General features: G+C 39.7%; 1 protein-coding gene and 1 pseudogene across 2 annotated transcripts in view; one reads left to right on the forward strand and one right to left on the reverse strand.

Annotated features, from left to right (window-relative positions):
- The window catches only part of HERC5 (HECT and RLD domain containing E3 ubiquitin protein ligase 5), a 49,045-nt gene extending 35,721 nt beyond the window's left edge, over positions 1-13,324 (forward strand). For both annotated transcript variants that reach the window (NM_016323.4, XM_011532022.3), the window contains 7 exons: positions 173-316; positions 1,326-1,492; positions 7,087-7,153; positions 8,076-8,146; positions 11,393-11,576; positions 11,656-11,758; positions 12,834-13,324. In NM_016323.4, coding sequence (NP_057407.2) covers positions 173-316; positions 1,326-1,492; positions 7,087-7,153; positions 8,076-8,146; positions 11,393-11,576; positions 11,656-11,758; positions 12,834-13,039 — 942 coding nt within the window. In that variant the 3' untranslated portion in view covers positions 13,040-13,324. The remainder of the gene's footprint in view (positions 1-172; positions 317-1,325; positions 1,493-7,086; positions 7,154-8,075; positions 8,147-11,392; positions 11,577-11,655; positions 11,759-12,833) is intronic.
- On the reverse strand, positions 14,164-17,648 carry NCOA4P2 (nuclear receptor coactivator 4 pseudogene 2; annotated as a pseudogene).

The following is a 27,897-nucleotide window of genomic DNA, read 5'->3' on the forward strand; positions in this document are numbered from 1 at the left end:
ATAGAATTAATGTAGAGATTAAATATGATAATATAAGTAGGATACTTACCTCAGTGCCTTCCAAATACTTGGGTCCACAATTAATGTTAGCTATTTACTATTATTAAATGAGACTTCATATATAGCAATATAGAGCCCTGGAAGTGATGTATTATTTGCTCTGTTTCCTCAGGTTTCATTTAGTGGAGAAATTGGGTATGACCTCGGAGGAGTCAAGAAAGAGTTCTTCTACTGTCTGTTTGCAGAGATGATCCAGCCGGAATATGGGATGTTCATGTATCCTGAAGGGGCTTCCTGCATGTGGTTTCCTGTCAAGGTAAGTTCCCTCTTCTTTGCTTAAGGTATTTTGCGACAGAAAAAGTACACCATATACCATAGAAAATTAGTTTGTCTAGACTATTTCATGTTAGAAGAGGAGTATTGATATAATTATGGAGATAATGTATAATTCTAATAAGGTGATTATTTTCTTTAAAATGGAGTTTCCTTTTCCTGGGTTCCCATGTCTGTTCACATCGAACTCAAGCAATATATTTTTTGATCATTTATATAATGCATGGATTAAAAAGGAACCCTCTCTTTTTTAGGTACTCATTCTTTGTGTCAGTTCTGTTTTCCTAATGAATTTGAAGACAAAGGCTGTGGAAAGAAATTGTGAAAACTAGTTTATAAGGATTACTGAACCTAATGTATTTTTATTGCTGGTATGCTTTTAGGAACCAAAACTGTGGCAGGGATTTATTTGGTTTTTTATTTGTTTGTTTGTTTTGTTTTGCTTTATTTTTGAGACAGAATCTCACTCTGTCACCCAGGCTGGAGTACAGTGCCATGATCTTAACTCACTGCAACCTCCGCCTCCCAAGCTCAAGCCATTCTCTTGCCTCAGCCTGGCGGGATTACAATAACTGGGATTACAGGCTCCTGCCAACACACCTGGGTAGTTTTTGTATTTTTTGTAGAGATGGGGTTTCACCAGTTTGGCCAGGCTGGTCTCAAACTCCTGACCTCAGGTTATCTGTCCACCTTGACCTCCCAAAGTTCTGGGATTACAAGCGTGAGAGTGGCAGGGATTTAAATTGACTTAATGACCAAATATTAGGTTGGTGCAAAAGTAATTGCAGGTTTTGCCTTTACTTTTAATGGCAAAACCTGCAATTACTTTTGCACCAACCTAATATAAACCCTAAACATTCTTATCTCAGGCTTTAAATTTTTCAATTTGAGATTTGATTTTATGAAAGAGAAACAAAGATTTATTTAATATAAATATTTCATTGTACTGGTAAAAACTCATAATACTTTAAGATTTTTTTTTCGCTTTTCAGCCTAAATTTGAGAAGAAAAGATACTTCTTTTTTGGGGTTCTATGTGGACTTTCCCTGTTCAATTGCAATGTTGCCAACCTTCCTTTCCCACTGGCACTGTTTAAGAAACTTTTGGACCAAATGCCATCATTGGAAGACTTGAAAGAACTCAGTCCTGATTTGGGAAAGTAAGTAAACAGAGTTCCTGAGAAAGGACCCTTTCTAACATATATTTAGGCAAATATTTAAGTACACACGCTTCATAATATTTCCATGTTCAACAGCAGCATTTTAGGTACTTTAGACCAGTTTTAACTTTGACAAGAATTGTTGGATGATAATTTCGTTTTCTAAAATTAGGAAGTGTTGATTATTCCCATAACTAGACTTCAATGTTTGCATTAATCTTTCAACTTTTTCTGTGTAGGAACAGTCATGCACAGAGCACAGGTTACACCTTGGTGCAAAATCTGCTAGTGATATTTATGTTAAATGTTGTTTCATGTCATCACCTTTAAAATGGAAACTTATTTCTAAGTTAAAAGACAAGCCACCACCTCACCAAAAAATGGCAACAGTAAAAGGGTTTTCATATCCCTGCTGTGTAAAGCATTCCTACACATCCGTAAGAAATATTCACAAAGTATCCAAGAAGGCAACCTGGCAAAGAAGCAATAGAAATGCTTCCTAAATAAAAATGTCTTCAATCTCACCAGTGCTCATAGAATGCATATTAACGTGAGAGGCTAATTTATACTTCAAGTTGACAGTGGTTTGAAGTGTTGATGCTATATAGTATTAGCAAGGGCTTGAAAACTTTCATTTTAATTTCAGGTATTATTCGTGGAAATATAAATTGGTACTCCTTTTCAGAGAACAGTGTGGCAGGACTTAGCAAAATCAAAACATATTTGCCTTTTCAACTCAACAATTCTACTTCTAGACATTTAACTTTCAGAAATACACAACCATGCAAGGATCAGTGTATAGTAATATATACTGTATTTATAGTTTATAATATAAAGACTCCCTAAATGTCCTTCACTAAGGGAATGATATATTTTTGGTATACTTATGCAAATGGAATACTACAGAGATTTTTATTTTTAAAGAGTAAGAACAGGCCAGGCATGATGGCTTATCCCTGTAATCCCAGCACTGCGGGGAGGCTGAGGCAAGTGGCTTGCTTGAGCCCAGGAGTTTGAGACCTGCCTGACCAACACGGCGAGACCTCATCTCTACAAAAACAAACAAACAAAAACAACAAAAATTAGCTGGGCATGGTGGCACATGCCAGGAGGCACACCTCAGAAGGCTGAGGCAGGTGGATAGATTGAGCTCAGGAGGTCGAAGCTGCAGTGAGCCGTGATCATACCACTGCACTCCAGCCTGGGCGACAGTAGAAGACCCTGTCTCAATTAAAAAAAAAGAATAAGAACAGTAATATGATTCTAGTATTATTATCATCCCTCTTTTACAGATTCAGAAACTAAAACACAGAAAGATTAGGTAACTTGCTCAAGGCCCCATAATGGCAGAACGATGATCTGAACACAGTCTGGCTCCAGAGTCTATTAATCGTTTATACTAACTGTACTAATAAGACAAGGAAAAAAAAATCAAAAGCACAAGATTTAGAAAGAAGGAGATAAATTTGTCATTATTATTTTACTGGAAACATCGAAGATAACCTAAATAATAATTATGCCTCAAAAGACTGATAATTAACAATGTACATGAACTAAAAGATCTTTAAATTTGTATCATTGTTTCTCAAACTTTTAGGTCTTAAGATTCTCTTAAAAATATTGAGGACTCCAAAGCGCTTTTAGTTAGGTTGGTTACATCTGTCAATATTTACGGGATTAGAAATTAAATATTTTAAACACAGGAATACACAAATATCTGTTAGCAGAGCATTCCACAATATCATATAGCCTCATGAAAACTCTTCTGTTTACTCACAGCAGAATGTGAAAATAGGCAAATAACATCTTAATAATGTTATGAAAATAGTTTTGACCTCATGAACTCTGTAAAGGCCCAAGGATTCCCAAGAATTGCTGGTCTGGCTCACATTTTGAGAACCAGTGATCTCTGTGTTCAGTAAAACTCAATTTTAATCCCAGGAGGCTTTTTATTAAACTTCACAACCTGGTTCTAAAATTTATATGGATGAACAAAGGGTCAAGAATAGCCAGAAATAATTCTTAAGGCAAATAAGGATGGAGAACTTGGTCTGTCAGCTATCAAGAATTATTAGAAAGCTGTATTAGTCAGGACAGTATGATGTATGATATTGGTGCAGGTTTTCCGATAGAACAGACGATAGAGCTCAGAAATGGACCCATGCCTATGTGGAACTTTATTAGAGGTGACATATTTGATCAAGGGGAATAGCAGTACTACTCAATAAATGGAACTGGAAAAAAATGATATCTATCTGGGGAAAAAAATGAAAGTAGATCTTTGTCTTATGCCATACATGATAATCACCTCCATGTGGATGAAGGATTTAGATATTAAATGCAAAAATCATGAAAATACAGGAGAATGATCTTTCTCACCTTTGAGATTTCTTAAACAAGACATGCAGTGTACCAACAGTAAAGAAAAGATTTAATACATTTAATTGCAATAAGATTAAAGAACTTCTTTCTTCATCAAGAGGGTGTTAGAAAAATGCAAAAGGGAAGGTGTTGTCAGGGTCTGAATGTGTCCCCCACAAAATTCATATTTTGAAGCCTCATCCCCAGTGTGGAGCCCTCATGAGTAGAATTCATTCCCCTATGAAAGAGGCCCAAGGGAGCCTGTTCGCCCCTTCCACCATGAGAGGACACAGAGGACACCATTGAAAAGGAATGGGTCGTCACCTATTCCCTTTAGATTCAGACACCGAATCTGCTGGCACTTTGATCTTGTACTTCCAAGCCTCCAGAACCGTGAGCAATAAATTTCTATTTATAGATTACCCAGTCTAAGGTATTTTGTTATGGCAGCGTAAATGGACTAAGGGAAATTGCTACCAAGAAGTGTGGTGTTGGAAGCAACTTTGGAACTAGGTAATTAGTAAGTAGTGGAAGAGTTTTGAGGCACATGCTAGAAAAATCATGTATTGCCCTATAGAGCAGTTCTGGCAAGGGCTCAGAAGAAGAGGAGACCTCTAGAGAAAGCCTTGGTCTTCTTAGAGATTACCTAAGTGGTCATGATCAGAATGTTAGTAGAAACGTAGACAATAAAGGCAATTCTGATGAGGTCTCAGATGGAAGTGAGGAACACATTGGAAATTGGAGGAGAGGTGCTCCTTGTTACTATATAAAGTGGCAGAGAATGTGGCTGAATTCTGTTGTATCCTAGTGTTTTGTGGAAAGTCAGATTCTTAACAATGAAATAGGATATTTGGCAGAAGCAATCTCTAAGCAAAGTGGTAAAGGAACAATATGGCTTTTCTTGACTGCTTATACCAAAATGCAAGCAGGGAGAATTATTTAAAGTGGAATTTATCATTAGAAAAAAAGCCAAACTTAAAGATTTGGAAATTCTCAGGCTGGCCATGTTGTAAAGAATGCAAACGTGTTTGGAAGAGAGCACCAAGGGTATGGCCAGGTGACTCTTTTTATTAATAAAGAGGTTAGTGTGGATGGGTGGAAGCCTGGTGCTATTCATCACGACAATGGAAGAATGATCCCAAAGGCATTTCAGAGATCACTGGGGGCTGTCACTCCCATCATAGGCCCTGAGTGCCAAGGCCTGGAGGACAGAACTATGTCAAGAGTGGCTTTGTGTGCCCACAGGACCTGGACATTTGATGTCCAGCGCTGCCTCAAGTCCCTACTCATTGCATTCTGGCACAGTGCTCCTCAGCTGACCCAGGTGTGACTCCAGTGGCCCCAGGTGTGGTGTGGTCACAGTGGCTGTGCCATCTCTGCTGGCACAGAGTGCACAAGCTGTGGGGCCTTGGCTTCTCCCACCTAGATATCAAAGGATACTCCACAGAGCCATGGGGTCCAGGCAGAGAACTGGCACAGGGTTGAGGCAACTGCAGAGAGCCCCCACTAAGGCAATGCCTAGTGGAGTCATGGGAGTGAGGCTGCTCTAGAGACCCGAGAAGAGCCACCAGTGTGCAGTTCCAGCCTGAGGGAGAATCAAAAGCACCCAACACTAATGTGTGAGAGCCTCTAGGGGTGGGCTTTGCCCAGCAAAGTCATGGGTGTAGGGCTGCCTGGAAACTTAGGAGCCCAACCCCAAACCCAGTGTGTCCTGAAAGTGGGACATTGAGTCAAAGATTATTCTCAAGCCTTAAGATTTAATGTTGCATGCCATTTTGAGTTTTGGACTTAGTTGGGACCTATTACCCCTTTCTTATTTCTGTTATTCCCTTTTGAAATGGGAATGTCTATCCTATGCCTGTTCCACTGTTGTATTTTATTTAATTTATTTATTTTGAGACAGAGTCTCACTCTGTGGCCCAGGCTGGAGTGCAGTGGTGCAATCTGGGCTCACTGCAACCTCCACCTCCCAGGTTCAAGCGATTCTCGTCCCTCAGCCTCCTGAGTAACTGGAATTACTGGCACATGCCACCATGCCTGGCTAATTTTTGTATTTTTAGTAAAGATGAGGTTTTGTCATGTTGGCCAGGCTGGTCTCAAACTCTTGACCTCAAGTGATCCACCCGCCTCGGCCTCCCAAATTGCTGGGATTACAGGCGTGAGCCACTGTACCTGGCCTACCATTGTATTTTAGAAGCAGGTAACTTGTTCGATTTCACAGGATCACAGCTGGAGAACAGTTCACCGCCTTCCCCACAAAAACAAAAACAACCCACAATGAATAAAACATGGTCTGTTACTTCACAATACAGTAATTTAAAAACCCAGTGGGGAAAAAAAATCAGTTCAGATTCCACCTTATCCCAGAGGCCTTTCCCAATGTCATGTATCCCTTCAGAAAAATTTAACTGTGCTCTTTTAAGCCTATACCTGTGTGATTTCCATAGTTCTCTGGCTGCACATACCTCACTGTATTGTAGGTGAGACTCCCATCAGCATACCTCACCTTCAAGTCCCAGAGTATTGGCAGTGATATCTTAGTCTCAACTTTACATCCCCTATGCCTGCTATAGTAGGGGCTACTTAAATGTTTGTTAAATAAATATTTGAGTGAATGAGCAAATACAATGAGATGTGTTATTTCAAAAGCATGTATAAAGCATCATAGGATGATAGGATGGAAATAATTTAAAAATTGGTTACTGTCCATTTTGATGTGACCTCTATTCTCACAAATGCCCTGAAATTATTAAGGTAGTCTAATTTCAGGTGTTTCTTAAGCTTGATGATATTGGGACAAGAGGTGCAGAGAAGGTCCTTTGACCCACCTCAGAGTTACTGATACCTGAAATTTAATATGAGACCTATTCTGTAAGTAAAGTTCAAAAGCTTCAATAAAGGTAACACCAGTTTGAATGAATTCACTATCAGTGAACGTTAGAATCCTTTTCTAAATAGAAACCTACAATCATTAGGTAGGGAATTTAAGGTAAAGGAACAAGAGCTGTGAAGCAGGCAGGCAGCCTGCAGAAATGCAGACAAGCTTCTTAAATTTGACATGTTTAGTTGAGGTCTGGCCCTGTTTAGACTATCAGTACGCAGAGAAAGAGGTGCTGTGAACTATACCTGACCTCATACCTTCAGAATAGCTATACACTTGACATTTATTTTAGATGCTGTGTCTAGTGATCATGGTTATTACCTTTTTAAAAGCAAGATTATTTTTTCCTTAGGAATTTGCAAACACTTCTGGATGATGAAGGTGATAACTTTGAGGAAGTATTTTACATCCATTTTAATGTGAGTAACAATAAAAGCAGATAACAGATTAGTTTTAATCTGATTAACCCTTTACATATTTAACTAAACATGTCAACTTTTACTTAAAAAAAAAACCTGAATAAATTAGTGAAAAAGGTATTGTTCTTCATCATGATCTAGGTGCATCAGTTAGATTTTACTATGTAACAGCCAACCCTAAAACCTAGTGCCCTAAAAGAACAAATACAATTTTGTGGGTTTCTGAACTGGGCCGACTTGGCCAGGCTGGATGGTCTACAGTGGTATCACTCACATGCCCAGTCACTGGCAGGCTGGTTGGGTTATAGGGTATCAGCTGGAACAGCTTGTCTCTGTTCCCTGTGGTCTTTCATTCTCCAATAGGCTAGCTGAGGCTTTTGAAGCAAGACTGCAGTCTTTATTCTTCACATGGTGGCCTTAGGGTTACAGAGAGGAAGCGATAGCAAGCCCCACCACACATGCTTCTGCTTCTGTCAGATCCCATTGGCTAAATAAAGTACCTCACATGGCCATGCCGAGATTCAGTGGCTGAAGAGATAGCCTCTCCCCTTGATTGCAAGTGTTGCAAAGCCACTAGGCAAAGGGGCAGGAGAACTAGGATGGGAAGAATTCATGGCCATTTTTGTAAATCTACCATACTGGGTCTATGCTGTATGAAGTGAATACTGAGATGTAGCAATTTTCCAATTAATTTGTTTAATTTGATCAGTTAAAATAAGAGAATTCAAGCTTTGAAAAAATTTATTTTTATTCAGTATGATAGGGTGTAATTTTTTGTTTGTACATTCCTTGCTAGCTTTTATGACAAAAATGTACATTTTAACACATTCTTTTTAGAAAGTATGCTCCAAAGTGTTTTTATTGATGATAGATTGTTCAGAATTATGTTGGAGATATTATCTGAGTTCATTTGCGGTTACAGGTGCACTGGGACAGAAACGACACAAACTTAATTCCTAATGGAAGTAGCATAACTGTCAACCAGACTAACAAGTAGGTACAAAAAATGAAATAGTTGGTTTGTATATGTACTATTTTTATTTTACTGAGCTCTAAAAATTCCTTTTAGCTCTTTAATTTTTCATTCTCATTAATCATTTTTCACTAAGGCAGAGAAGTTGGTGTGTGTTGTATGTGTTTTGACATATATATCATGGAGTTTATATTGTGGTAAGGAATGGAAATGGCTTTCTCAGAGAGACCTTTCTATTTCCTCCTGTCCAAAATTACAACACCAACATCTGTCCCTCTTTATCCACTCGTTCTGCTTTTTCTTTTCATATCACACATTACCTACCTTTAGGGTTTATTTGCTTATTTATTTCTCATTGTTTCTCCAATGATAGTGAATGCGGCAGGGACTTGGTATGTATTCTTCACCGCTGTATATTCAGTACCTAGAGTAGTCTACAGTGGTGCCTGATACATTGCAGGCACATAGTAAGTATTTGTTGAAAAGGTTACTATGATATTTTGACTTCCCAACATCTAATGGAATGCCATTTAAAGCCATGGAGTTTGGAATTATAGAACCTTCCCTTGATAGTTGGTCAGAGTGGCAAAGAGATCTCTAGGAAGCGTGCTGGCCTACATCACATCTTTTTCCACGATTTCTTAATCTTTTTTTTTAAACTTTGTATTGAAGTATAACCTATATAACAGAATTTTGCACAAGTCATAAATGTACAGTTTAGTGAATTTCACAAAGCAAACATGCCTATGTAATTACTGCCAGATCAAGAAATATAACATTTCCAGCTATATAGTTGTGTATTGTATGAATATATCACAGTTTATTTATCTGTAGAATTTTTTTTTTCTTTTGAGATGGCACCTCGCTCTGTCACCCAGGCTGGAGTGCAGTGGCGCAATCTTGGCTCACTGCAACCTCCGCCTCCCGGGTTCAAGCGATTCTCCTGCCTCAGCCTCCTGAGTAGCTGGGACTACAGGCGCCCGCCACCACGCCCAACTAATTTTTTGTATTTTTAGTAGAGACAGGGTTTCACCGTGTTAGCCAGGATGGTCTCCATCTCCTGACCTCATGATCCACCCACCTTGGCCTCCCAAAGTGCTGGGATTACAGGCGTGAGCCACTGCGCCCGGCCTATCTGTAGTATTTTTGACCGACATAGTGTATTTCAAGTTTTGGACTATTATGAATAATGCTCTTGTGAACATTCTTGTACATGTGTTTTGTTTATGTGCAGGCATTTCTGTTGGTATGTAACTGGGAGAAGTGCTTGGTGCCTTGTGGTTGCCCCTTGCTCCATGCAGGCAGAATCAATGCTCCTACCTGAAATTCATTTGGATATTGATATGGATGATGCCATATGTAAGCCAGAGAGTATGAAAATGTTTAGTACATAATGGGGCTTTTTGGGGAGAGCTGCACAGGCATCCAAGCTGATCTGTTTGGCTTAAGTGAAGAGAGAGGCAGGTGGCTTTAGTTTTTATGGTGGTTCCGTGGGGCCAGGGTCAGGGTTCTCATGCAACCCAGAGCATGCGTGGGGAAATTTAAGCCACGCAGCCATCAGTGGGTGCCCAGGGAGTGAGCCTGTGTTGTGCAGATTTGGAGGCGAAAGGGGAAAAAGGAGGAGTGGGACTTGAAAGCTGTTAGTAAGCAAACATAAAAAATGGAGGCACACTTTCATCAGTAGGGTACGACAGTTCTAATTGCTCTATATCCACTCTAATAGTATTACTAGTCTTTTTTAAATTAGCCATTCTGGTGGGTATATAGTAGTATTCCATTGTGGTTTTAATTTGCATTTCTCTGATTACTAATGTTAAGCACTTTATATGCTTATTGGCTGTTTGGATATCCTCTTTTCAGAAATAATTATTCCTCATCTTTAGTCTATTTTTCTGTTGCTTTTTTTTTTCTTGTCAGTTTATGAGAGTTCTAGATGCAAGTCTTTTGTTGGTTATATGTACTGCAGATATCTTCTTACATACTGTGGCTTGTCTTTTCACTTTTTAAATGTGTCTTTTGATTAACCAAAATTTGTAATTGTAATGTAGTCTACTTTATCAATATTTTCCTTAATGCATAGTGTTTTTCTGTTTTCTATTTTATGAATACTTCCCTATCCTAGGGCTATGAATATATTCCCCTGTATTTTCTTCTAGAAGCTTATCATTTTATTTCTCACATTTAGATCTATGATCCACTTTAATTGATTTTTTAGTAAGATGCAAGGTATGGATCAGGTTTTATTTTTTCAATTTTTGAAACTGATTATACTGAACCTATAGATCAATTTTTTGAAAAAATTGACATCTTAAAATAATGAGGCTTTAATCCATGAATACAGAATCTCCATTTGTTTAAATCGTCTTTTGTCATTCTTGAAAAAATGTTAGGTAGTTTTCTATGTAGAGATCTTGTTGCAATATTCTAAATAGGTTTCTTGGATCATTTATTGTATTTGAATCTTCTCTGTCCTTAAAAATTTTTTTGTCTGCTTTTCTGTTAGTTACTAGGAGAGGTATATTAGCATCTATACTATACATGTGGATATGAGTGTTTCTTTAAGTTTCGTTATTACTAAGCACATAACAGATTTTTGAATTGTTTTACCTTCCTGGTATATGACTCGGTTGTCATTAGTAAATGTACTTTTCTATCCTTGTCTTGTTTGTCTGATTTTAGTATAGTTACACCACATTCATTTTGGTTGATGTTTGCATAGTGTATCTTTTTCCCTTCTTTGACTTTAATCTGTGTTTTCACATTTAAGTTATATATGTTATAAGCAGCATATGATGGAGTTGTTATAAAAATTACATTAGGGCCAGGTGCGGTGGCTAACGTCTGTAATCCCAGCACTTTGGGAGGCCGAGGCAGGCAAATCACAAGGTCAGGAGTTTGAGAGCAGCCTGGCCAACATGGTAAAACCCCATCTCTACTAAAAATACAAAAAAATTAGCTGGGCATGGTGGCAGGCACGTGTAATCCCAGCTACTTGGGAGGCTAAGGCAGGAGAATCTCTTGAACCCAGGAGGTGGAGGTTGCAATAAGCTAAGATCGCACCACTGCATTCCAGCCCAGGTGACAGTGCGAGACTCCGTCTCAAAAAAAAAAAAAAATTACATTAGATAATCTCTAGTAACTATGACAGTCCATGGCACATGGTAGGTACTCAATAACTGTTAGGTATTCTAGCTTTTATTTTTAGCCCCTCACCATTTTGTTCAGGATATTGCAGTAAGTGGAAATAACATTTTGTTTTATTAAAGGAGAGACTATGTTTCTAAGTATATCAATTACATTTTCAACGACTCTGTAAAGGCGGTTTATGAAGAATTTCGGAGAGGATTTTATAAAATGTGCGACGAAGACATTATCAAATTATTCCACCCCGAAGAACTGAAGGATGTGATTGTTGGAAATACAGATTATGATTGGAAAACATTTGAAAAGGTACATCATCAAGTCTAAGTTGATTAAATTCAGTTTTCCTTCCTATTTCCTCAATAACTTTTTTTTGTATTTTCTCTAGAATGCACGTTATGAACCAGGATATAACAGTTCACATCCCACCATAGTGATGTTTTGGAAGGCTTTCCACAAATTGACTCTGGAAGAAAAGAAAAAATTCCTTGGTAAGTATTATATCAAGGAATAGATCTGTAATCGTATGTCTTTTTAATGGGATAAAAATTTCCTTTATGATAAGTACCATTTGCAACAGATCATAGTGTCAGAGCTACGCCTAGTCCAACTGAACATCCTCTGTGTCCCAACATCAAAAAACAAATGTTAATATCTATAAGCAATCTTTTCCCCTGTGATTTCATCCCTTCTTATTGCTTTTAAAGTTTTCGTTTCTTCATCCAAGCTAAATATCAAGCCTTCTTTCTGTAGCCCTGTCATCATTCACTTATTCAGCCTTTTTGGGATTAACTAAAATATTTTATTTGGCTAATTTTTACTGTTCCTATATTATTAATACTATATTTGCTATTACTGTACACAGCTATTTTATTTGTATCTTTAGGCTTAATGACTTTCTCATTTTCTATTTCCTTACTTTTGAGAAATATTTATCTTCTATTTTTATTTTTGTGGATAACATGTATGTTAGAAGATATTCAGACTTAATAGAAGCCCAACCTACCTTTCCAGTCTTAACTCCTAGAGGAAATTTTTGTCCCAACCAAATAATCCCATTGTCTGAACACTCCTGAGCTCACCTTGCACCTTCCCACCTCCAGGCCTTTCTGTGAAGTTCCTTCTCCTGCCTTGAACCTCACCTACCTCCTTGTTGCCTTTCTAAACCTTTCCATCCTTAAAGGTCCGGCATAATTCTGAACTCTTGGAAATCCCCTCAGTCATCCCAGCCTGGCTCTCTCTCCTTATTCTCAAGCATAGCATTGACTCAGGAGGCACTTAACTCCATGACACCTCTTCGGGCTGTCTTATACCTTACAGCTTTTCTCTTGCTATTATGTGTCTTTTTCTTCACAAGAATCTAATATTCCCAGTCAGACTTTAAGCTGCTTGAGGACAGTGACTATGTGTCAGACATTGTTCGAATACAATCCCCAATGCACTGTCAAATGTAGGACACTGCACATGGGCTCCAGTGAAGTTTTGTGAATAAATAGATTTTTTTCTCTGTAAAGAGATTTTGGTCTCCATGTAAAACAGATTGCCTAATTTTATTCTTCTTTTTAGTATTTCTTACAGGAACTGACAGACTACAAATGAAAGATTTAAATAATATGAAAATAACATTTTGCTGTCCTGAAAGTTGGAATGAAAGAGACCCTATAAGAGCACTGACATGTTTCAGTGTCCTCTTCCTCCCTAAATATTCTACAATGGAAACAGTTGAAGAAGCGCTTCAAGAAGCCATCAACAACAACAGAGGATTTGGCTGACCAGCTTGCTTGTCCAACAGCCTTATTTTGTTGTTGTTATCGTTGTTGTTGTTGTTGTTGTTGTTGTTTCTCTACTTTGTTTTGTTTTAGGCTTTTAGCAGCCTGAAGCCATGGTTTTTCATTTCTGTCTCTAGTGATAAGCAGGAAAGAGGGATGAAGAAGAGGGTTTACTGGCCGGTTAGAACCCGTGACTGTATTCTCTCCCTTGGATACCCCTATGCCTACATCATATTCCTTACCTCTTTTGGGAAATATTTTTCAAAAATAAAATAACCGAAAAATTAACATAAAAGTCTTATTCACTATTCAATGTGTTTACCAGCTCTTTTGGAATTGCTATCATTGCATGTAAGATATATCAATTATAATATAGATTAAGCTGTGTCTCTCACACAATGTTTGCATGACTTGGCCTGAAGGGATACTCTTTACCTTAGAAGTTTTTTTAAAAAACTTGTAATTATCTACCCAATATCTGTTCTCCCCTTCTTTCAGTACAGATTCCCTATATGGTAGGAGTGGCATTGTTCTCAGTCTTAAAATCATACATTTCCCAGCCTCTCTTCAAGGTAGGGACAGGTGGCAGTGGTGACAGTTATTGGGAGAAGCTTCTGAGGAAGCTTTTTTATTTAAATGCTGTTATGCTTTTAATGGAGTTAGGTACAAAATGCATCCAAGCAAAAGAATGTTGTACATACTCATTAACATAGTGATAAATGTAAATTACACTTTGATAATGTAAAATACAGTGTGTTAGGCCCCAAAAAGAAACTACAAAGTTAGCTGCAACTGAAGATACTGGAAAGACTCCGTAGGTTTTTTTTTTTCTTTTTTCTTTTTTTTGAGACAGTTTCACTCTTGTTGCCCAGGCTGGAGTGCAATGGCGCTGTCTCGGCTCATCGCAACCTCCACCTCCTGGGTTCAAGTGACTCTCCTACCTCAGCCTCCCAAGTAGCTGGGATTACAGGCATGCACCCCCACGCCCAGCTAATTTTGTATTTTTAGTAGAGACAGAGTTTCTCCATGTTGGTCAGGCTGGTCTCAAACTTCCCACCTCAGGTCATGCGCCGGCCTTAGCCTCCCAAAGTGCTGGGCTTACAGGCGTGAGCCACTGTGTCCAGCCGTCCTTAAGTTTTTTTTACCCGTCATCTTTATTATTATAATAGTTCTAAATGATAATCTGGGTGGGGCTTAAGGAATAATACAAAGCTCTTTTCAGCTGTGGTTCAAAGAACTTTAGTAAAGCTGTATGACAATGACATTGTGGGACCATGACATTTTCCCAAAAGTATTTCCAATAACATAGGCATTTGAGAAACTTCATAGTTTCAAAGTCTGGAAAGCGGTGAAGATATCTTAGAGAATTTTAAAACATTATAAACCCCATTTCTCTCCTGGAGACTTTTTAAAGCATGGACATGAGTTTAAAGATACTGAGAAAACATCGGTTTTCATAAAGCTTCAATGAACACCCCAAGGTACAAGTGTTGTAAGCAGCCTGTTTACTAAAATGTTGCTGCATTGTACTTTTGGAGGTACAGAAATGCTGTGCCTACAGTGAGAGCACAACTTTATCCCTAGTTAAAAGCACCAGGGGTCAAGTTCAGCTTCCATTTACAGAGGATACACCAGTAATCCCTAGGATAGTGAGTGGTTCAAGTACTACACTACATTTCTAACGTGTCTTACCTATTTGCTCTTAGTCAGCACTGGGGCTCTTTTAAACCCTATGTAGATCTATAGAATATTTTGAAAAGAGTCTAAAACTACCTTGAAAATGGTCTTAATACAGAGCCCTTCTAAAAGAGGGATACTTTTAGAAGGATACTAAATACTGGATACTCTAATAACATTTAAAGCAGGGATGTCCAATCTTTTGGCTTCCCTGGGCCACATGGGAAGAAGAAGAATTGTCTTGGGCCACACATAAAATACACTAATAATAGTTGATGAGCTAAAAAAAAAAATCTCATAATGTTTTAAGAAAATTTACAAATTTGTGTTGGGCTACATTCAAAGCCATCCTGGGGCCTGTGGGCCATGGGTTGGACAAGTTTGATTTAGAAAAAGGAATAAAGAAAAACATTGCAGTAGCTCAGTTTCTTTCAAGTGAAGAAGAAAAATGATGTAAAACTAATATGTAGGCTAAAATGTTTGGTAATTAGTGTCAAAAATTACCAAGATTATTAGTACATGTTTTGGTAATCACTAATGGCAGGATTAATTTTTTGTGCAAAATATATATTAATAGAAGAGAAAAATTATTTCAGCCTCTAATAGAAGAAAACAGCAAGAGAAGCAGCTAAAGAACAATTAAAAGTTAGGGAAGTTTACTAGCTTTAGAATACAATACACTTCAATTACAGAAATACTTCTTTTTAAAACTACAGTGTTTTAATGTACTTTTAGTAATAACCCAATCTAAGGAGTGTGGGAGGCTTGTGAAAAACTCCACCAAGGTGCTACATTTCTAGTGTGGGGTGAATTAATACTTCTGTAAAAAGGAAAGAACTGAGTCACCTCAGCATTTTTTGTTTAAATAGTAACTCATAATCCGATGATGTATTTTTCTTCACTAGTTCAAATTTAGGCAGGAAAGGGACTAAGCTAACTGGTCGGACCCAGAAACACAATTATTTGGCAAGTCACAGTCACTTAGCTCATGGATGTGTAATAATCTGCAGAAAAGCTGCTGAACTCTTGTCTGTTCCTTCACATCTGTAGAGGAGTTTGATATAATCACTTCTCTTTCTCGATTTTAAGCTTCATACAGGCAAAGAGATCACAAAATGTAGGGTAGCCATCATGGTCTTGGGGGAAGTTATGTTCCTCCTGTAGGGGTGGATTAAGTAATACTTCCTGGCCCTTCTTCCGAAGTAGCCACTTGTCTTCTCCAGAGGATCACTGGCTGAGGGTGCCCATCTTCTTTCCTGGCAGGATCCAGTCAGCTGTATTAAAGGGACACCAGGAAGTGATTGTGGGGCTTTTAAGCTTTTGTTGGCCAGCCCTGTCCTCAGTACTAGGCACTTCCTTGGGAATTCCTTCCTTATATGGGGGCTGGATTAGCCACTCTGACAAGGGACTGTTGTTTATGACTTGAATCAGCAATTCTAGAAGGAGCCGTTGCCTTTGATGCCTTAGCTTGTTCTTTTCTTGAAGGACAGGACCACATATTCAGGGAATCTTGATGCTTCTCAGGCTCAGGTTTGGTTTCCTCAGGCATCCCATTATTTTGTCTATCTTTCTTTAGAAGCCACTTACACAGAGCTTCCTTCTCAATTCTCATCATACACTCTGCAAAACTTCTGCAGGGCTCATTGGCTGTGCATATGTCCTCTACTTTATATGGGTCCTGATGGTTCTGGACAAGTCAATCCTCAGAAACGATGCTGAGGGTAGAAAATAGTTTCTTGGCTTCCAAGTAGTCATTCAGGCACTTCACATTGCCCAGGTTTTTCAAAATCTCTACACTATTGGGCTGGTTGACCCAACAGTTGATATAGGAGTTGGTTTTGACAAGCCAATCATTCACATTGTAGGAATGGAACAAGAATTTAAACTTCTCACTGGTTTCATAACTGCCATTCTCAGGCTTCTCCAACTTACAGGATTCCTGGGGAATCACCAGCCACTAGATAGATCATCTCACCTTGATCAGAAAGCTCTAGATCTTCCACCTTTTCAATTAAATGGAGAAAGAACTGGTAGTAAAATGGCTGTCACTTTGGATAACTTGGTTTTTCTGGAACTTCTTGTTGCTGACTCTTGAGGAGCAAGTTTTCAAAGCCCTTTAGGTTGCCTGAGACATTACTGAAGAAACTGCAGGCTCTGGAAGAAGTCTATTCTCCAACGTCTGCTTTTGGGTGAGCCAGTCGTGGGGGGTTGTTCCTGAAGACCACTGGTATGGTTGCTTCCAAGGAGCCATTCCCTGAGAGGGACATCTGTGATGCTGGATGCTGACTTCTGCTCTGGCATTAGGATATAGCCTCTCTTCTCCAGGAAGGGCCTGATACTTGATAAGCTAGCATGAGGCATGAAGTGTTTAGGAATTTGAATGGTCTTGAGAAACCCAAATGTGGTGATAGTCATGCAGAGCAGTTGTGTCTGCTTCAAACAGCAGGACAGTTGAATCTTCAAACTTAAGGGTCAAACTGCCCAGTCTCTCCAGGCACACAGAGACTTGGCTAGATCTTTGTTTTGGGTGCACTTCCGTTAATGAATAAGACCATTGAACTGGCCCAATAACCAGTAGAGCTGCTGGGCCTGTGGCTGAAGTGTCTCCTCTTTAAGCTGATAGATGAGGTCTACCTGTTCATACAGCCACCTCACAGTTCGTAAGGCATTCTAGGTGACAGCTTATACAACTCTGAATCTGAGTTTTGACTTCTCACAAGTTATCTTTAATTTGCTGTTTGGCCCAGGGAACTCCACCAATAGCAAGCTCCAAGTCCTTCCATGCATTACTACATCTCAAAAGGGGTTCTCTATTACTGGAGTAGCCACTCTGGTCATGTGAGGTATTCATTCTGCTCACTGCTCCAGCTCCCAATCCCTCTCCGGGTGATCCAGGGGACTTTGGGTGGACAGAGACACAGCCCCACACAAAACTCCTGAGGAGTCTTTTTAAAGGGAATCTTTTCAACTGACTGGAACCTTTTTGCTTCCTCCTTTATTCTTTACATAGAACTGTATTACCTACTATTGCTCTGACTCCAAGTAAGGAGTCTTGCAACAATCAGCCACATGAGGAACACAATTCTCCTACTCTGAAGACACAGCAACAAGGGTGCCAGCTTGAACCAGAGAATAAATCTGCTGATGTCTTGATCTTGGCTTCCCAGCCACCAGACTGTGAGATAAATTCCTGTTCTTTAAATTACACAGTCTCAGGTATTCTGTTATAGCGGCACAAAATGGACAAAGACAGACTTGTATCCTACCCACAATATGTAAAGAACTCTCAAAATTCAATAATGAAGACACAATTTTAAAATGGGCAAAGATTTGAACAGACACAAGATATATCAATGGCAAATAAGCTTAACAACGTGTCATTATAGAACTGCAAATTAAAACCCAAGTAAGGTACCACATCACCCCTATTACCATGGCTAAAATTAAATAGACGTACCAAGTGTTGATAAGAATGTGGAAGAACTAGAACTCTTATATACAGTTGGTGGGAATTTAAATGGTTTGACCACTTTGGAAAACTGTTAGGCAGTTTCTTAAAAAGAAGTATCTACCATATGATCCTGCTATTCTACTCTTAGGAATTTACCCAAGAGAAATAAAAGCGTATGTCCATGCAAGGATTACATACAAATGTTCATAGCAGCTTTATTTATAATAGCCAGAAGTGGAAAACAACTCAAATGTCCATCAATAGGTGAATACATAAATAAATCGTGGTCTGTCCATACTATAGAATAATATTCAGCAATAAAAAGGAATGGACTGTTGACACAACAACATGCAGGAATCTCAAAATAATTATACTGGGTGAAGGAAGTTAATGATTATATCCTGTATGATTCATTTATATAAAATGCCAGACAATGCAAGGTAAAGTATAGTGACAGAAAGCAGATCAGTGGTTGCCTGGGAAATGGGATGGGGGTGAGGAGGGACAGGAGGGAAGGATTACAGAATGGCACAAGGAAGCTTTGGGGGATGATGGATATGTTCATTATTTCAATGGTGAGAATGGTTTCACGGGTATATACATATCCCAGAATTTGTCGAATTACACACTTTAAATGTGTGTAATTTATTGTATGCCTCATATCTCAATAAAGCTGTTTTTAAATTCCAAAGAGAGATGATCTTTCTTATTTGTCTACCTTGAGTCTCATACCCATTCCATGGCCAGGAAAGGCTAAGATGATTGGCAGTTCCCCTAGAATTGCATCCGATGGAGAAACAAATTGAGGAGCTATTCTAAAGAAACAGTTCTAGTACAAGCAGCAACTATAAAATTCTAATATGCCTTGGGAAATCTGTCACTGTACACTTTTTGAGTACATAAATGAACAGGTATTTCATTTTGTGTGTGTGTGTGTGTGTGTGTGTGTGCCAAGATGGCAAGCTGTTTGCCTGGGGACAGAATTTAGGGCAACTTTGAGATGAAAGATAATTTGCCTCCGTCCCTAAGTCACAAGGATGACTTTTTAAGGAGTTACCTTGGCTCATAGTTTTGTAAGAGATGCTTACGGCGCAGGAGAAACAAGAGAGGAACAAGTTTTTGAAACTGGTTAAAGACAATGGTCTGTTAAGAGGGTACAAGAGTCCAATTATGATTAATAAAATAAGATATTCAAGGCCAACCTATAAAACATGCAACCTGAAAGTATTTGAAGGATAGCTCACAATAGGTAGAAAATGAACAGTGTCTTTCATTTGCTAACACAATAAAACAAATTAATAATAAGACAAGATACAAATTCAACACCAGTGAGTAAATGTTTTCCTCTGTTATGAAGTGGTATTTATATTCTCAAGCAGAGAGAAAATGGGATAAAATAAAATCTATCTTATTTAATATATATTTTTAAATGTGTGCTAAATTATGTTTGTTATAGAAGAAAGAGCAATAGTTGTACCTGGTGTGTGATGTCCACCCATTAGACCTAACTTGATAGAGTGGGGTCTACCTCTGGAATTTCCTACTCTTTTTTTTTTTTTTAGATGGAGTTTCACTCCGTTGCCCAGGCTGGAATGCAGTGGCGCGATCTCAGCTCACTGCAACCTCTGCCTCCTGGGTTCAAGCGATTCTCCTGCCTCAGCCTCCCGAGTAGCTGGGACTACAGGCACGTGCCACCACGCCCGGCTAATTTTTTTTATTTTTAGTAGAGATGGGGTTTCACCGTGTTAGCCAGGGTGGTCTTGATCTCCAGACCTCGTGATCCACCCACCTTGGCCTCCCAAAGTGCTGGGATTACAGGGGTGAGCCACCGCGCCAGGCCTGGAATTTCCTACTTGTTAGCCATCTATAAACCCACTTCTATCACCCTTTGTTTCTTTCTCCCTCCCTGTCTCTGAGGAGAGGTGTCTGATTGCATTCCTTTCCGCCTCCAAGACCTCCATCATTTCTCCATGCTTTCCTATATCTTTGTTTTTTTGTTTTGTTTTGGTTTTTTTGTTTTTGTTTTTTTTTTTTTGAGACAGAGCCTCGCTCTATTGCCCAGGCTGGAATGCAGTAGTGCGATGCTGGCTCACCACAACCTCTGCCTCCCCACAACCTCTGCTTCCTGGGTTCAAGCGATTCTCATGCCTCAGCCTCCCAAGTAGCTGGAATTACAGGCATGCACACCACACCCAGCTAATTTTTATATTTTTGGTAGAGACAGTGTTTGGCCATGTTGCCCAAGCTGGTCTCAACTCCTGGCCTCAGGTGATCCACCAACCTTGGCCTCCCAAAGTGCTGGGATTACAGGCGTGAGCCACTATGCCCAGCCAGCTTTCCTGTATCTTCTAATCTTCAATTGCTTCACCACAGGCTCTTCCATATCCACATTTCTGCCATTAAGATAATACATTTTAGAATTTTCCTCTTCATTATATAATCCCCCTTTTCCTTCTTCCTGTTCTTTTTCCTAAAAATCTGCAATTAGGAAATTCCTGCCTTAATCTCTCCATGACACTGTGATCTGCCCTCCAGTCCCCCACTTCTCCCACTCAGACTGCTCCAGTAAATGTCACAGATGACTTTTTTTGTTGTAAAAATCAACAGAAACTTGTTATTTCCATCTTAAATCATTTCTACTGCATTTGAAACTGTTGACTACTTTCTCCTTGAAACGAGACTGTTGCTCTCCTTTTCTTGACTTATTTTCCATTTCCTTTGTATCCTTACACCCCCAACCCCTGGACTCCTGATCAAGTCTCTGGCTTCAGTTATTACTGGGCCCGCGGCTAACGTGTCTCCTCTTTAAGCTGATAGATGAGGTCTACCTGTGATACCTGGAGCTATACCTCTGACCTAAAGGAATTCATATATTCCAGCACGATAGCCATTTTTCTATATAGTCTATGTCACTACCTGCATGCCCCTTGGCTCTGTAATCTGAACATTTGCAAGGAGAAAGTTGTCATTTTTTATTCCAAAAATGTTTTTCCATATTTCACAGCTTGGAGTGATCCCACCAATATCTTCAAGAAGAAGCCTACAGTTATCTTCCATTTCTCCCTCTCTTTTACCACATTCCACATGCAAGTCAAGTTCTAATAATTTTAGTTTTAACATCTCTGTAACCCCACTACTGCCAGTGCACTAAGCTCAAGATCATCATCTACTGGCTGGGTGCAGTGGCTCACACCTGTAATCCCAGCACTTTGGGAGGTCGAGGCAGGTGGGTCACCCGAGGTCAGGAGTTCGAGACCAGCGTGGCCAACATGGTGAAACCCTGTCTACCAAAAATACAATAATTAGCTGGGTACGGTGGCAGGTGCCTGTAATCCCAGCTACTCGGGAGGCTGAGGCAGGAGAATTGCTTGAACTCGAGAGGTGGAGGTTGCAGTGAGCTGAGATTGTGCCATTGCACTCCAGCCTGGGCGAGAGAGCAAGACTCAGTCTCAAAAAAAAAAAAAAAAAAAATCTCTTGTCCCATCACTTTATTAGCCTCTCAACATTCTCCTTGTATCTAGACCAACACTGCCCAACAGAGCTTCCTGTGAAGCTGGAAATCTGTATCTGCACTATCCAATAAGTTGGACTCCTCTGTAGGTAAGGCTTTGTCTTTGAAGAATTTTGAAAAGTAAACACATTCATTGGCAGCAGTGGGAAAAACAGTCTAGAACTGTGCCATCCTATATTGGCTCTTTAATAAAAATTCAATAAATGTAAAAGATTCTCAGTCACATTAGTCACATTTCTAGTACTCAATATCTACATGTGACAAGTGTTTACTGTACTGTAAGTATGAACACTTGCCACAGCAGGGATCTGTAACATACAAACCCTCTGGAATGCTGCACGTGCTTTTTTTTCTTTTTCCTTTTTTATGGGAAAAAGAGCCATAGTGTTTATCAGCTGCACAAATCCAAACAATTTAAAAGTCAGGTAATAAATTCCGATTTCACTGACACTGACTATTATTACAGCTCCCGAATCCCTCTTGATGTGCCCTGTGTACAGTTCCAGCCTCATCTCCCACTGTTTGGGCGATTTTCTTATTGTGCAAACATCACAGAGTATACTTACGCGCTGTGTTTGTAAGTACACTCTGTGATGTTTGCACAATGCTACAAACCTGTACAGCATGTGTACTGTTCTGAACACTGTAGGCAATTGTAACACAATGGTCAATATTTGTATATCTAAAAATAGAAAAGGTACAGTAAAAATATGATATAAAAGATAAAAAATGGTACTTACCATGAATGGAGTTTGCAGGACTGGAAGTGGCTCTAAGTCAGTGAGTAAGTGGTGAATGAATGTGAAGGCTTAGGACATTACACCACTGTAGACTTTATAAACACTGTACTCTTAGGCTACACTAAATTTATTTTAAAAATAAAGCAATTCCTTTACAACATTATGACAGCTATGACGCTACTAGGCAACAGGAATTTTTAGCTCCTAATATAATCTTATGGGACTACCGTTGTATATGTGGTCTGTTGTTACTGGAAACATCATTAAGCAGCCCATGATTCTATTTCAGTTTCTTGAATGGGCCCAGTCTCTTATTCTGTGTTTTCACACATGCTTTTTCTTTTGCCTGGAACCCTCTTCCCATTGCACCACTATCTCTCCCTGTTCCTCACCTCCTCGCTTCAATTCTGCCTCCTCCTCTGTCTTGGTTATTCCTATTCATTTTTCAGGATTCACGTCGGCTGTCATGGCATTCTGCTGGATGCTACCTAGCTCTGCATTTCAGCAGTGCACTTGTCTTTCTGCTTCCTTCTGAGGGATCAATTGCCAGTGGTCCCATGAGTTAACCAAAAGTGCCATCTAGTGGCAAATGCGGAAGACAACACTCGCTTCCAAATGGAGCATTTCACTAAGAGGGACAAAACTTGGAATAGTGGACAGGCTTTCTCCACCACTACACACAGTAGGGAGAATCTACCGTGGCTCTTGGCTCTTCTAGATAGTTTTACATTTTCTACCTAATTTAAAACTCTCCCTTGGTCTGGAAGTAGGTATCATAATTTTCATCTTACAGATGCAGTCTCAAGTTCAGAGGGGCCTCCTTAAAATCCCCTTCTTTGGGCCGGGCACGGTGGCTCACGCCTGTAATCCCAGCACTTTGGGAGGCCGAGGCGGGCGGATCACGAGGTCAGGAGATCTAGACCATCCTGGCTAACACGGTGAAACCCCGTCTCTACTAAAAATACACGCCTGTAATCCCAGCACTTTGCGAGGCCAAGGCGGGCGGATCACAAGGTCAGGAGATTGAGACCATCCTGCCTAACACGGTGAAACTCCATCTTTACTAAAAAATACAAAAAATTGGCCGGGCGTGGTGGCGGGCGCCTGTAGTCCCAGCTACTCAGGAGGCTGAGGAAGGAGAATGGCGTGAACCCAGGAGGCAGAGCTTGCAGTGAGCCGAGATTGCGCCGCTGAACTCCAGCCTGGGCGACAGAGCGAGACTACGTCTCAAAAAAAAAAAAAAAAAAAAAAAAAAAAAAAAAAATCCCCTTCTTTGCAGGATTGGCTGCAAATAAAGAAGGACAGTAGGTCACAATAGGCCAGGTTTTGCTCCCTCAGGATGGGAATTTCTCATTTAGAGCTGGTGGGAAGGATCTCATTAACGTGGTTAAAGATGATTTGTCAGTGATGCAGCTGAGGACACTTAAAAAGAGAATCTTGTTAAGAGTCTCTAAGGAAGCAGTAGGTCCCCTGGCATTGTGAAGTCAGCGGATTATTGAGAAGGAGGAGGAGTGGGGAAGAGTTTCATTAATGTAGGAATAAGGCAGTGTTCCTCATGGTGGGTTTACAGTGTAACAAATGGAAGTGTTGGGGTCAAAGCCATGGCGTGCAGCATGAGGTACGTAATGGGCAGCTTGTGTCCCTGTGAACAGATATGAAGCCAGGATGATTTGCTAGTGAGAAGCTTGGGAAGGAACACTAGAAACCTGTTGAATTCCCAATACAGGGTGTCATATTTCATAGGGTCACTAGAAGTAGCACAATGGGTGGACAAAATTTAGAAGGCGTAAGACCTGCATTCACTTTTGGCCATGCCTCTAACCAGCATCTGACCTCCAGCAAGTGACCTGGAACCACTGAGCCTTAGGCTGGACACTGAGATACTGCTTTTTTAATTTTCCTCTAACAACTTTATTGAGATATAATTCACATAGCATGTAACTCAGCCATATATAGTGTACAACTCAATGGTTTTTAGTATCTTCACAGAATTGTGCAAGCATCACCATAGTCAATTTTTCTGTTTGGGGTTTTTCTTGTTTTTTTTTTTGAGACAGGGTCTTGCTCGGTTGCCCAGGCTGGAGTGCAGTGGCATGATCATGGCTCACCACATCCTTGACCTCCTGGGCTGGATTCTCCCACCTCAGCCTCCTGAGTAGCTGGGACCACAGGCACATACCACCATGCCCAGCTAATTTTTTTTTTTTTTAGATTTTTAGTTTTTTGTAGAGACAGGGTCTCCCTATGTTGCCCAGGCTGGTCTCGAACTCCCGGGCTCAAGTGATCCTCCCAGCTTGGCCTCCCAAATTGCCACCATAGTCCATTTTAGAACATTTTTATCACCCCAAAGAGAAACCTTGTACCCTTTAGCCAAAACTGCACAATCTCCCCCTTCTTCTCCAGCTCTATGCAGCTACTAATCTACTGTCTGTCTGTAGAGATTGACTATTATGGACATTTCAAATAAATGAAATTAGACTATGTGACCTTTCGTAACTGGCTTCTATGACTTAGCATGATGTTTGCAAGGTTCATCCATAGTCTAGCATATATCAGTACTTTATCACTTTATATTGCCAAATATTATTTCATTATATTCATATCACATTTTATCTATCTATTCATCAGTTTATGGACGTTTGGGTTGTTTCTACTTTTTGGCTATCCTAAATGATGCTGCTATGAACATTTGCATACAAGCTGTCGTGAATACTTAAGTTCTCACTTCTCTTGAGTATATACCTGGGAGTAAAATTGCTGCGTCATGTGGCAACTCTACATTTGACCTTTTGTGGTCTTGCTGTTTTCCAAAGAAGCTGCAACATTTTATATTCTCACCAGCAGTGTATGAAGGCTTAAGAGGTCTTTTAAAACTGCTGATCTGTTCATAAAAGTGTCAATAAGAGGCTGGGCATGGTGGCTCACTCCTGTAATTCTAGCACTTTGGGAGGCAGAGGAGGGTGGATCACTTGAGATCAGGAGTTCAGGACCAGCCTGGCCAACATGGTGAAACCTCGTCTCTACTAAAAACACAAAAATTAGCCAGGCATGGTGGTGCACCCCTGTAATCCCAGCTACTGGGGAGGCTGAGACAGGAGAATCACTTGAACCCAGGAGGCGGAGGTTGCAGCGAGCAGAGATCGTGCCACTGCACTCCAGCCTGGGTGAGAGTGAGACTCTGTCTCAAACAACAGCAACAACAAAAAAGTGTCGATAAGATATAGAAGCATTACTTTTATCTAGCCACATATCAAGTGCTCAATTCCTTTTTTCCTCTTGCTGTGCTATTGTTATGTAATCACATCTGTATGTTACAAACTCAATACTTAGTTATAATTATTTTATATAATCTGATGTATCTTAAACTGAGAAAAGGACAGCAAGTATATATTTATAGCATTCATTACATTATTTATCTCTTATGGTTCTCTTCATGTATTTTTATGAATTCAAGTTACTATCTGGTATCATTTTCATACTGCAAATACAGCTTTGCTTACCTCCATTTCCTTTGTGATGTTAATGCTAAATATGTTATATATGTTACAGGCTCCCAAATACAATGCATCTTGCATAAACATGGTTTTTTTATATAATTGCCCTATAAATAAGAATGACAAAACACGCATTTATACTGTCTTTTATAATTACATAATTACCTTTACTATGCTGATGGCCTATGCCTCCGAGGAGGTACCATAACCCTCAACTAGGAGCTGGGGGAAGAGCGAGCCCCGTGTTCTTGATTACACTCTCCTGGAGTGGCCATCGCCAAACAGAGGGAGCAGAAAACAAGTGGTTGGTGGGTCAGATGACAAAAACTTGCTGTTCTTATTAAGTTTCAGTAGGTTTCCTTGAATGTTTCTTCATTTAATGAGCTGTATGCCTTTAGGACAATTTCCAGACCATTTAAATGGTTGTTTTGTTTATAATTTTCACTAGTTAGGCTTGTTTCCCTGGTGAATGGGTCCACAAAGTTCCTCACGTGGTCTCTAGAAGTATCACTTAGTTCTTTACAAAGTACCCTCGCAGGTAAAATTTTATTTCATCCTCACCATTTTATGAAACAAGGGTAAGGACTTTTTAGCCCTAAAAATGAGGCCCAGAATGCTAAGTAACTGGCTGAAGTTATAAGGCTTCTCAGAGCCATGTGTTCACTCAGGAGGCACTTAGTGCCTGCTCTGTGCTAAACATTAGATTTAAAATGTTCAGCATTTACTGTATAGACAGGAGACAAAAACCAGACAATTGCAGCACAAGGTTAAGTGCTAGAATAAAGCATACGGTGCCTTAAGCAATAAGAAGGGTACTGGCTGGGTGCGGTGGCTCACTCCTGTAATCCCAGCACTTTGGGAGGCCGAGGCGGGTGGATCGCTTGAGCCCAGGAGTTGAGACCAGCCTGGACAACATGGTGAAACCCCATCTCTACAAAAAAATACAAAAAAAAAATTAGCCAGGCATGGTGGCACATGACTGTAGTCCCAGCTACTTGGGAGGCTGAGGTGGGAGAATCACTTGAACTCAGGAGGTGGAGGCTGCCGTGAGCCATGATCGTACCATGCCACTGCACTCCAGCCTGGGCAACAGAGTAAGACCCTGTCTCAAAAAAAAAAAAAGGAGGGGATTGGGTGGTCACCTAGTCCAATCTTGAATAAGAATTAGAAACTAAGCATTTTGATTTCTCTGTTTTTCTTGTAAATAGAAAGGACCAAATAGCCCAAAATAAAGTGGCACATGGCTTGGTAGTTAAGACTGAAGCCAGATGGCTAGATGGTTTACATTTCCATCCAATTATTAGCTATGTTACCTTGGGTAAGTCACTTAATCTCTCTGTGCTTGTTTCCTTATCTGTAAAATGGTGCCAATATTACCTACTCTTTAGGGTTATACGATTGAAGACACAGCACTGTGTTTATAATTGTACCTGGTATATGTTTATACTGTAACAACTGATTGCTAAATAAATTCTATTAGTGAGGGGATGGTGTTAAATACTAAACCCCCCCAGGGCATTCTTGTCAGTGTTTCCTGAAATAGTAAAACACTCAACTTCCAAATGCTGAAATTGAAATTGACTTCTTGAGATATAGTATGTACTTGTTTTTCAGAATTGTTTCCTTTTCCCTGACTTGGTTAAGTGTGAGATTTAGGGTTAATTGAAAAGAACAACTCTTCAGGAAATACCTGGGAACCTGTAGTCTTTCAGGTTATCTGTATGTTGCCATAGGGTAATTTTAACATGTTGTTTGTACTACAGTATACCTTGAATTCAAAAGAAAACACATCTAACATGTTTTAATTTTTTGATGCAGAAGAATCACTGTTTAAGGTTTCTGTTAACATAAGATTCCAATAAAAATAAAGTTTGTATTCAGTTCTTAGGTTTCTTTGGGTTAACTACTGAAACACACTATATTTCAGAAGTATTGTACTATGCTTGATTAGTCTTGTTGAAAGTTCTAGAAAATCAGGGGCCATTAAC

This window comes from Homo sapiens, chromosome 4 (genome assembly GCF_000001405.40).
Source record: "Homo sapiens chromosome 4, GRCh38.p14 Primary Assembly".
Classification (NCBI taxonomy): domain Eukaryota; kingdom Metazoa; phylum Chordata; class Mammalia; order Primates; family Hominidae; genus Homo; species Homo sapiens.